The sequence below is a fragment of the Homo sapiens genome, chromosome 14, assembly GCF_000001405.40.
Source record: "Homo sapiens chromosome 14, GRCh38.p14 Primary Assembly".
Classification (NCBI taxonomy): Eukaryota; Metazoa; Chordata; class Mammalia; order Primates; family Hominidae; genus Homo; species Homo sapiens.
The window spans coordinates 56,526,332-56,538,486 of NC_000014.9; the positions used below are offsets into that span (position 1 = coordinate 56,526,332).

Genomic DNA, 12,155 nt, shown 5'->3' on the forward strand with positions numbered 1-12,155 from the left:
ATTTGGATGAGGTCAGAAGCAAACACAAAAATGAATATAGTTGGCCAGTGGGCATACATTAGTACAACTATTATATTGCTATAATGGCTGTGATAGTCCTAGTGAATAGCCAAGCAGCCTATAGCATTGAATGAAATGTTTGCTATTTATATGATAAAAGTCAAATGTATCTGCAAGGTTTAAACACTTAAAAAGTAAGACAATTCTTTTTCAAATTTTTGCTCATTTTATTTTAGTGTAAAGCTATCACTACATCCATTTGATGAGTATATCTATAATCAGGTGCAATTATTTCAGATAAAATGGACTTCATGTGTGTGTTTGTTAATCATTAGCAATTCCGAGCAGCTTCCCAATTTTAAAAACTGGCCTCATGAGCGCACCCAAGCCCTGTGGTCTGAACTACACAAGTGCCTTGGCCTAGAAATGTGAGTTTCACCCTGGAAACTTATTATAAAGAACAGAAAAGCAACAGGAAAAGATAGAGAAGAGGGAATGGCCAAACTAAGCATCTCTCACCGAAGTTTAATCCAAGGAGGTTTAAATCATTGTGATAGAAAATGATTGCCAGAAGCTTATAGATAAAGGCAAGTATTTCACACATGACAGTTCAGACACATCATCAAACATTTGGGCTGCAACGGGACAGAATATTGAAAATTGGGACTTCCCTAGAAAATCTCACTCCACAGGGGTTTCCTTATGAGGGATCCTGATGCTATCCTAGAAGAAAGTCATGTTTATGATGTCTTCTTGGCTCCTTCCTTAGCTCTGCAGTTTGCAGTCTACCTCATCAGCTGTTGTCCTCAAAAAACTTTTCCTCCACATGTGTATACAGACAGGCTCATGCCAATCACTCATTTGTTTTCCAATTACAAAAATATCCCGTATCTAGTAGCATCCATGTCTCCTAAGGAGAAAATGTGAGTTTAGCAAAAATGCGAAGCTTAGTGCCAATAACTTGCTGCTTAAAGGCAAAGGATTTGAGGCAGGTCTTAGGGGCTAAAAACATATTAGTAAAAGCTTAGATAGACGGAGAGACAAGAGTAGTCTTGGAATTGTTTTCTGTATCTAGCTGTTGGAGAAATCTTTTCATGTAAATGGTCTCCAAACCTTTTAAAAACCACTTAGCAAAGCAGTAAGGCTTAGCATCCCTGCCTTTTTTTTTTTTTTTCTCAGTATCCCTAAGCAGAGACTTTAATGGTGTGCAACTGAACTGTAGCCAATTGTGCAGCATTTGCTGTCATCCAGAGGAAATTACAAGGAAGGTGTTTACATAGGAGGATACTCAAACTTCTCTATTTGGTGGGATTTCAACATGGTGCCTTGGGTGGCTACTATGTGCTAGTCACTGGGAATATGATTAATAAGATAGGGTCCTTTGGAGGCTGCAAAGCCTTTAAGATGAAACCATCCCAAAGTGATAGATCCTATAGTTACTTGCCTAATCATTCTCCCTTTGCTCCTTGCTAAAATAATCCTGCTTTGGGTTCTTTGTCCAGATAAAAATACTGGTTCCTGGCCTTTCCAGAAAACAAGTAGCCATGAGACAGGTTCTGGCCAATGAGATGCTGGATGGGATTGTGGGGAAGCTTTAATTAAGAGAAGCAGCCTAAGCTGTCAGGTTTCTTTGCCACTCTGTCTTTGCGTCTTCCTGCTACAGGTGTAGCAGCCATATGGCAATGATGAATCCAAGGACAAAACCCAACATACTCTGAAGCACAGAGTGGAAAGACACAAAGAGCCTGGGACCCTGGGATCTTTGATCCAATACGGCAACCCTAGATGGCCTCCTCATGAGCTCTTGTTGCGTGAGCCAAATAAAGGCCAACTTCCCTAAGCCACCAATTGTCAGGTTTTCTGTTATTTTCAGCCAAAGTCACTTCTGATGATAAGCTAATGATGTCTCAGAACTTCATTTTCCTCATGTGTGAAATGTGTATCTACTCTTTACCAACTTTGAAGCTTTGCTGTAAAGCCTGGTTGGTATATGTATAACTCCTAGCCCGGTGCTTGGCTCACAGTAATAATTGGAGATGATTATTAATAATATATAATGATTATTATTATTCAGAATAAAATGAGTCTTTTTGGGGGGGAAACTTAAAGAGCAGACCCAAACTTACCTTGAGGTGGCACTGTCTTCTGGGCAAAGTGTTAAGGCCATATTGGAGTGGAAACTAACAGGCTGAGCTCAGCTTTACAGACCCTTACCTAGTTAGGATGGTCCATAAATAGTATCTAAAAACTGTGTCCCTCTGCTCTGACTTTAGGAGATTTCTCTGCTTATGGCTAATGCATGCTCAGTGTTTCTAACACCTGGAGAGCAAGTTGTTGCTTTGTTTATAGTGAAACCAAATCCCGTGGCCGCATTTGATTCCTGAGTGGTTATCACACCAGCAAACGGCAAAATTAGCATCTAATAGAGCATTTCAGTGAGAAAACAGAAACATTCTTTGGATGCACAGTTTTTGCCTCCAAACACTGAGCTTCCCACTGCCTGGCCACTCCTTTTTTAGTCAGTTTTTTTCTGAGTGTGTAAAACTGTGCTAATTCCAATTTGTTTAATGTTACATGCATTTGGCCTTCAGTTTAGTAGTCAAAATAATCATTTGTTGTTCATTTCTTTAACCTGTTAATTCATGTTATTTGAAGCCTGCTGATATTTTTGGCCAGCATAGTCAAGCTGTAGGGGCTTAGAGATTTATCCTGTGTAAGATTTAGAGCATCTTCTGCTATGCACATCACAGAAGAAAGGGACGGGATTCCTGCCGGGATTCCTGCCCTACCTGAGGCCCCTTCTGGTGCTTTGCCATAACGCAGTTCAAAAACTTAACGGTGAAATCTCTTTTTCTGAACTTCAGTTAAGCCAATTTGGAATGTAGTAAATGAAGGCTGAGATTCAGTCAGGACCAGGAAAATACTCCACCTGTTTGTGAGGGGCCTGTTTGAGGAGTGATAAGTAGAATAAGTAGCTATAATGAGCTCTCTTGGTCAGTTAAGTGGAGGTTTTCATGCTACAAAGATTTTAACCGGCTGGGTGCAGGGCTCACACCTGTAATCCCAGCACTTTGGGAGGCTGAGGTGGGTGGGTCATGAGGTCAAGAGATAGAGACCATCCTGGCCAACATGGTGAAACACTGTCTCTACTAAAAATACAAAAATTAGCTGGGCATGGTGGCACATGCCTGTAGTCCCAGCTACTCGGGAAGCTGAGGCAGGAGAATTGCTTGAATTCTCCTGGGAGGCAGAGGTTGCAGTGAGCCGAGATCGCGCCATTGCACTCTAGCCTGGCAACAAAGCGAGACTCTGTCTCAAAAAAAAAAAAAAAAAAAAAAAGATTTTAACCAACTGTTCCTGAATATTTTGAATTCCCCATTTTTCTAGAGGAAGGTCAATGCCATTGTTGTCCAATAGAAACATAATGCAAACCATAAATATGAGCCATATGTGTAATTTTAAATCTTCCTGTAGTCACGTTTTTAAACAAAAATATATAGGTAAAAATAATTTCAATAATATATTTTTCTTAACTGAAAAATATACCTAAAATATCATTCCAACAAGTAATTGATTAAAAAGTCGTGAAATTTTTTACATTCTTTTTTTCATACTAGGTCTTTAAAATCTGGTGTGTATTTTATACTTGCAGCGTATCTCAGTTCAGACTAGCCACATTTCATGAGTTTAACAGCCACATGTAGCCAGTGGCTAACATATTAAAATGTCCTGTGCTGTCTTGACATCATTCAGATTCCTGGGGACTCCCAAAACTTAAATGCAATTTCCTCTGCTCTCTTCCCAAAAAAGTAGGAATGGCTCCCTACCCAGCTAGTTCCCCTGACAGCCAGAGCAGCCACTCCCCACCTGCTTCTCAACCTAATGAGCCATTTCCCTGCCAGCCTGTGGAATTATCCAAACAAGCCAGTTACATCCTCCCGTGAGAACCAGGAGTCATCTCCCCATCTTGTTACTACAACACCAGCCTTCCACAGTCTCTGCTGGTTCACCTTGCTCCTGAGTGCAACCCCTGCATGGCCCTGGCTGTCACGCAGCATCTTCCTCCCTAAGTATTTGAGTGTGAGTATATGGGACTAATAACTGCTGTCAGTCTCACCTACTGAGTGTCCAGCGTCATGTATTCAGCTCTCTCCAGAACCATAGGGCAGCATTCCCTTCCTCACCCACAAGGTGAGGAAACAAAGCATCAGCATGTGTCTATACTTTTTTTAAGAGAGTTTTATAGTCAATTTTTCAAACATATTTGGAAGAATCTGGGCTTGTCTCCTAGCCCTCCTACGTTTACATTGTCCAAAAATGTTTAGTTGTAGTTCTCCATAGTTTTTCTTTTTTTGTTAATATTTTTAGTATCTCATGGTGCTTACTTTTTGGGTCAGCTTTGCAGCTGATGTATGCTGGTTTAGGTCAGTTTTGCAGGTGATGTGTATTATCTTATTCCACATCTTCTGGTCTTCAGCAATCATGCTGATGGTGACCAATCAAATTATTATTAGGCACTAACATGAATTTGATTCAAAAACAAAGGCCTGCTCCATGGATGGGGTGACAAATACCTTGCCAGTGTGCTGCCACTGCTCTTGCTGTGCCTGCAGCAGGATCACCCAGCCAGTTCTCCACCCCAGAATCCTCTTGGCATTTGAGATGAAATCTGATGGTCACGTCTGGCCTAGAAACTCTGGGCTATCCTTGAGCCTTCTTCTTGATCCTTAATCTATATGCAGTGATCAGTGGACTGTCTCTCTACCCCGACCTGAATCATTCCACCCCCAAAACCTCTTTTGAATGTGTGTCCTTTCCTCTCTGTGAAAGAAGGAAATAATGTATATAGTGGTCCATTTCCAAGACAAAGTGCCTTAAATCGGCTTATGTCAGCAAACTACAGAAAAAACAGGATATACTAGGCCCCTGCTTGGAGAGCTGAGGACTGCTTGTGGGGCCCTCTACCCTTAGTTGCCCTCACCCGAACCAAAGAAGTTTAGTCTAAGATAAAAATTTACCAGCAAAAAAGCAAGCAAAATAGCTTGCTTTTGTCTGTTCTTATCAGCCTGCCCAGCTACTTAGGTCGTAAGTCAAATACTTTAAAATCCCCTGAGCTGACTAGGTTGCAGCAAGGCAACCCTAAAGAAAACACCTAAAGCCCCAACCCAACAACCAATAGGCGACGTCCAAGAAGATTGTGACCCCATAGTACTCAGCCTACGAGAAACCGGAACCTGTGAGGGACCTGAGCACTAGGGGATAAATTGCTTGTTGTAACTGTCCTGGGTGTGCCTGCCCATCAGACACTCGATCTTGCAAGACCGTCATTAAAAGTCTCACTTTCGATGTTCTCAGGTCTCTGAGTCCATTCCTTGGATTTGGATTGGTGAGTTTGTTTCTCACAATGAATATTGTGTGATCTCTAAACCAGGTTTTTGTTGTGTCTAAGGTGATCTATCAGACTCGAGTTCCAGTGGGTCTTTCTGCCTCCAGACGCCCTGGACTCCCCACCCCCTCCACTCTGCTGCCTATGTGATCCAAAACTCAGAGCTCATTGATGACTTTATGTCTTAAACACCTCCAACAGCTCCCTGCTGCTACCCGATATCCAGATATCTTAGCCTGATAATCAAGACACATAATGAAGCCCCAATCTATCATTTCATTTTAACCTTCAGCTACATCTTCTCATTGATTCCCCTTGCAAACTATTTCCCATACTCCAAACAAACCTGGCACCTTCCTACCCCGGTGCCTTTATGGCAGCTGCTCTCCACTTCACTTGCCCCTAGGTGCTACCTCAGGGACAGAGAGAGAGATTGAATTGAATGTATTAAAGGAAAACCGCACATTGCAATGAGGTATGTTTTCCATGAGGGAAAGATTACTGGAGGCTAGTAACCCCCGAAAGCTAGGCCCTTGTATTCCTCACTAAGTCCTACCAAGCACCCTGAAGGCTGTTGTAGAATTGGGCCTTCAGCTCAGGAGACATTGCCAGCCACAATCCCTTGAGCTATGAGCAACCCAAACAAGGTAGAGTTTTTTATTTCTCTCATTCAAGACACCAAAATAGGTAACATAATTAAAAAGAATCTAGCCTTCTGAAAGACAAACTACAAGTAACTTCCTACAGTCTAGGCCCTAATCAATAATAAATAGTGTCAAAAAAAGGTACAAGATCCAATTAGTTAATTAGTTAATTGCTTAGTAACTTAATTACTTAATTAAAAACATGAAAGCAAAAACCTGCTTCCGCGGTGCTGTTTTCTGCGTGCATTTCAGATATGAGGCCTTGGGCAGATACCTGTGGGCAGAACAAACAGTGGGACACACGAGGAAGCTGCCCAGGTTCTTTTGCGCTGGTTGTGCACACGTCCATTCACCCAGCCATGCTAGTGGTGAACTCTATGTAAGCCAGAGGTAGCCCAGAGTCATCAGCCGCTCCCAACAGATTTATATGTGTGATTTGCTTTACTGATAAAAGTAACTGTAAAGAAAAAGTCCACCTATAAACCCATAATAAAATAAAAATTGCATTTAACTGCATATAGTTTATTGAAGCCCAACTTTGTGAGAAAGGATTCCATAACACTGTAGGGTAAAGAATACCATGTTTGTATTCATTTCAAAGGAGCTGTCAATCCCGGCATAAGCAATTAGTTATTTAGCCTCTCAGGCCTCAGTTTTCTCATCTGAACATTGTAAAATGCAAACAAGTTAACTACGTAGAATTTTTAAGGGATGTAATGAGAAAATCCATGTTATGTACATACACAACATATGCAAATATTACCATTATTGTAAACATAATATATTTATATATTTTAAAATATATTTACTTTTGTTTTTCCAACTATCACAGAAATTTATCTTAGACAGAAAACTATCTCTGATTGGAAAAATAATTTAGTAAATGCCTGCTACAGAATATTGAACCCCAAAAATCTTTTTTGTTTTGGTTTTGCTTATTTTTCTATATCACAACCCCACCAGTAATTAGAGTCAGAGGACAGAGGTTTTTTGATATCTCTGGTGCCTGGCACCTAATAAAAGCAGAAGGCTTCTCTATCCACAGACTGGTGGCTATGCATCTACTTTTAGAGTTTCATTTCACGTGTCAGTTATTTACTGACATTTTTTCAGCCTGGAGAAATTTTAGATTTATGTCCCTGATAATAGGTGCTTTATACAGAAGACACGGAAGCATAGTGGGGAGAAGCCTCACCAGGGAGGAAAATGGGCACAGAAGAGAGAATGTGCCAAAACAAATTTCTCCCACTTCACCACTTCCGAAGAAGAGAGTAAATATTTATTGGGTGTCTAATTCACAACATGTACTTTGCTGAGTACTTTATATGATAATAACAACAGCATTTGCTATTATTTATTAACTAATAACCATTTGCCAGGCATTGCACTAATTGTTGTATGAATATTTTCAGTTCATTCTTGCCACAACGTTATAAGCATTTGGTAGATACCTTCTTTTTATGAAGGAGAAAAGCGGGGCTTAGAGAAGCTGAATCATGCGTCAAGGTCGTGCAGCTAGTTCTAATTCCAGCTGGAGCTAGACACTGGAGCTACCTGACTCTGGTTTGTCTGCCTACTGTTTTCCATGTACCATGACCTCTCCACTGGAAAGCACCTCCATGGGAAACACTGCCATTTTCTAGTAATCTTCCTGGGCCCAGCTCCAGTAGATCCCTCACTCATAGTAGGCACCCAGTAAATGTTTATAGAATGTATAAAAGTAGAGAAAAGGGCTGGGCTCAGTGGCTCACACCTGTAATCCCAGCACTTTGGGAGGCCGAGGTGGGTGGATCACTTGAGGTCAGGAGTTTGAGACCCACCTGGCCAACACGGTGAAACCCCATCTCTACTAAAAATACAAAAATTAGCCAGGTGTGATGGCACAAACCTGTAATCCCAGCTACTTGGGGGGCTGAGGCAGGATAATCACTTGAAGCCAGGAGGTGGAGGTTGCAGTAAGCCGAGATCACGCCATTGCACTCCAGCCTGGGGGACAGAGCAAGACTCTATCTCAAAAAAACAAAACAAAAGTAGAGAAAAGACAAGAGGAAGGTAGGTAGGAGTGTTAATACATTGCAAACTGAGCAAGAGAGGGAAACAAGACAAGGGACAAGTGGGTGTCCTTCAGAGTGACATCATGCAACATATAACTCTATTCTTGGTCGGCTACATTTAACAACGCCCCTACCTGATTTACATGGTCAGAAATAAACTCATCTGCAGCGACCATCATTTTGTGAGCCAGGTTGGGTTCTTTATACCTGCTGATTTCCATTAAATGCTGTTTAGAAAAATAATTTTGTAACCCTGCCCTGCTGGTGTTAAATATAAATCATTGGTTTGGCTGCTAAAATATAACATTCAAGGTGAACAGAGAGACAAGCAATCTTGTTTTCTTCCCCAACGATGCTTTAACTCAAGACAGGAGCTCCCGGGTGGCTTCGCATCGCAATTTGCCACACGTGCACTGATGGCTCTGCTGGGCTCTGCTGGCGGTGCTGGGCTGCCGGCGTCACGGAGCCATCAGTCACGGATTATGGCTGCAAGGGGTGCCTGGGTTTAATCTCATTTTTGAATGAATTAATATTATTAGTTTTGAAGAATTAATGGTATTAAATGTGCAAGGTTCATATAAATTATGTCCACATCCACCTATTACTAAATGTGTCTCATTCTTGTGCAAGAAAGCTTCAAGAAGCAATTCAGTGGAATCCTCTCTTTTCTGTTTTTCTAAAGTGCCCTCCTAAAAGAGTTAGATAGACTAATATATACCTAGGACAAGTGCTTTATGATATAAATCTGTCCTTTGGTCCATGCTCAAGGGGATGACATAATTGAGTCAGTTACCAGAGGAAGACATAACTTTGTGGTAGTTTATTACAGGCCTTTACAAATGTAGACAGAAGTATACACCATCCAAGAAAATCCTATATTTTAGAAGAGGCTTGAGCTTCCTTACTCTCTTATTTCCCCCTTGCAGTAAAAAAATAAGTGCTAAGGTATACCCATGTTGTAGCATTGAGAGAGAGAGAAAGAGAGAGAGAGAGAGAGAGAGAGAGAGAGACAGAGAGAGGATCATGTTTATGTGTATCTTTTTCAATCTGAAACCAATTTTTGTCCTTACCTAAGTCTAAATGAAATGCATATTGGGCTGGGAGCAGTGGCTCACGCCTGTAATCCCAGCACTTTGGGAGGCCAAGGAGGTGAATCACTTGAGTCCAGGTGTTTGAGACCAGCCTGGGCAACATAGCAAAACCCCATCTCTACAAACAATAAATTATCTGGACATGGTGGCGCATGCCTGTAGTCCCAGCTCCTCAGGGGGACTGAAGTGGAAGATTGCATGAACCTGGGAGGTTGAGGCTACAGTAAGTTGTGATCGTGTCACTGCACTCCAGGCTGGGTGACAGAGTGAGACCCTGTCTCAAAAAAAAAAAAATCATTTAAAATAAAAGCAAGAAATGCCTATTGTTGGAATCCTATGCTAGCAAGACTAAAATTCATGTCTGTGTTTGAAGCTTTTGGGAAGATGATGATCAAATGTGAATGAGCCCATTGCCTCTTCTTTCTGAATGATATTTCTGTTAAGGGATCTATCAGGTTGAATCCTGTGAAGTATACTTATCTTTTAACCCGGACACCGTGACACGCACTGATTGTTACATACAGCAATTGTCGCCTTTATTGCCTGCTTAAAAACTCAAATTGCATTCAGGTATATGGGTGAGATGACTTGATTTCAAGAAAGGTGAACTCTTTACCCTGGGTCCTTGGGATAATCCTATTATCCTTTGCTGTGTTTAATGACCTAATTCCAGCCAACGAGATGTAAAGAGATGGATAAAGTTTTTGAACCTCAGTGTGCCAAGCACAATGCCTCATAGTCCATTAATAAGATATATTCATTCTATATGTTCTTCATAGGCTCTTTTTTGGCATCCTTGAGTGGACATGAGCTCTTAATGAGTATTTAACAGAAAGACATTCCGCACACCTGTACTTTTAGTAACTCTTAAAAACTTTTTCCTAAAATGTATATATGTGTACTCAAGTAACCACATCATTCCCTTTCAGGATTTCCATATCTTCTCATTAACAATTTTTACCATCTTCTACTTCATTAGAGACTTTTGTCAAAGTTCTATGATAGCACTTTTCAATAGAAATCCAATTTGAACCACATATATAGTTTTAAATTTACTAGTAACCACATTGAAAAAGTAAGAAGAAACAGATAAAATTAATTTTAAGGTGATACTTAACCCAGTATGTCCAATATAATTTTGTTTTGACTCATAATCAGTATTTTTAAATTATTGAGGTATTTTACATTCTTTTTAAATATTAAGTCTCTGTTCCAGTGTGTATTTTATACTTACAGAATACAGGCATATTGCATTTCATTGTGCTTTGCTTTACTGCACTTCACAGATACTAGATTTTTTTTTTTTTTTACAAATGGAAGGTTTGTGGCAATCCTGTGTCAAGCAAATCTATTAGCACCATTTTTCCAACAGCATGTGCTCACTTCATGTCTGTGTCACATTTTGGTAATTCTTGTAATACTTTAAACTTTTTCCTTGTTATTAAATCTGTTAAAATGATCTGTGATCAGTGATCTTTGATGTTACTATTGTAATTGTCTGGGGGCATCAGGAACTGTGGCCATGTAAGATGGAAACTTAACCAATACATGTTGTGTGTGTTCTGACTCCTCCACTCATGGCCATTCCCCTGTCTCTCTCCCTCTCCTCAGGACTCCCTATCCTGGGGACACAGCAATATTGAAATTAGGCCAATTAATAATCCTATAAAGGCTTCTAAGTGTTTAAGTGAAAGAAAGAGTTACACATCTCTTAAATGAAAAGTTAGAAATGATTAAGCTTAGTGAGGAAGGCATGTTAAAAGCCAAGATAAGCTGAAAGCTAGGCTTCTTGCACCAAATAGTTAGCCAAGTTGTAAATGCAAAGGAAAATTTCTTGAAGGAAATTAGAAGTGCTACTCCAGTCTAGGCACAGTGGCTCACGCCTGTAATCCCAGAACTTTGGGAGGCTGAGGTGGGCAGATCACCTGAGATCAGGAGTTCAAGACAAGCCTGGCCAACATGGTGAGCCCCTGTCTTTACTAAAAATACAAAAAATTAGCTGGGCATGGTGGCACGTGCCTGTAATCCCAGCTACTAGGGGGGCTGAGGCAGGAGAATAGCTCGAACTTCAGAGGTGGAGGTTGCAGTGAGCCGAGATGATGCCATGGCACTCCAGCCTGGGCAACAGAGCGAGACTACGTCTCAAAAAAAAAAAATAAATAAAAAATAAAGAAGTGAGGAAGCTGCAGAACAAAAGTTGGAAGCTAGCAGAGGTTGGTTTATGAGGTTTAAAGAAACATGATATTAAAGTGTAAGGTGAAGAAAGTGCTGACATAGAAGCTGCAGCGTTATCCAGGAAGATCTAGCTAAGATCATCAATGAAAGTGGATACACTAAAGAACAGATTTTTAATGTAAATGAAACATCCTTCTATTGGAGGAATACACCTTTGAGAACTTTCCTAGCTAGAGAGAAGTCAATGCCTGGCTTCACAGTTAACTCTCTTGTTAGGGGCTAATGTACCTGGTGACTTTAAGCAGAAACCAATGCTTATTTACCATTCTGAAAATCCTAGGGTCCTTAAGAATTATGCTAACTCTATTCTTTTTGTACTCTATAAATGGGGCAACAGCCTGGATGGCAGCACATCTGTTTACAGCATGGTTTATTGAATATTTTAGGCCCATTGTTAAGAATTGCTGCAAAGAAAAAAAAATCCTTTCAGAATATTACTGCTTATTGATGACATTGCACTTGGTCACCCCAGAGCTCTAATGGAGATGTACAAGGAGATGAATATGGTTTTCATGCCCGCTAACACAACATCCATTCTGTGGCCCATAAATCAAGGACTAATTTTAACTTGCAGGTCTTATTACTTAAGAAATACATTTTTATAAGGCTATAGTTGCCCTTATAGTGATTCCACTGATGGATCTGGGCAAAGTAAATTGAAAGTCTTCTGGGAAGGATTCACCGTTCTAGATGCCATTAAGAACATTCATGATACATGGCAGAAGGTCAAAATATCAACATTAAC

The 12,155-nt window shown here is 40.5% G+C and overlaps 1 long non-coding RNA gene across 1 annotated transcript in view, besides 1 other annotated feature; it reads left to right on the plus strand.

The window, feature by feature from the left end:
* LOC101927690 (uncharacterized) overlaps positions 1 to 12,155 on the plus strand; it is a 36,979-nt gene that overhangs the window by 12,001 nt on the left and 12,823 nt on the right. The gene's annotated exons all lie outside the window — the stretch shown is intronic.
* Positions 8,097 to 8,266: an enhancer, noted in NCBI's record as "experimental_34296 CRE fragment used in MPRA reporter constructs". NCBI's record gives its function as "activates a minimal promoter by MPRAs in K562 erythroleukemia cells, with activity observed for both the introgressed and non-introgressed 14:57001231 variant alleles {active_cell/tissue: K562}" and the evidence as "EXISTENCE:reporter gene assay evidence [ECO:0000049][PMID:34662402]".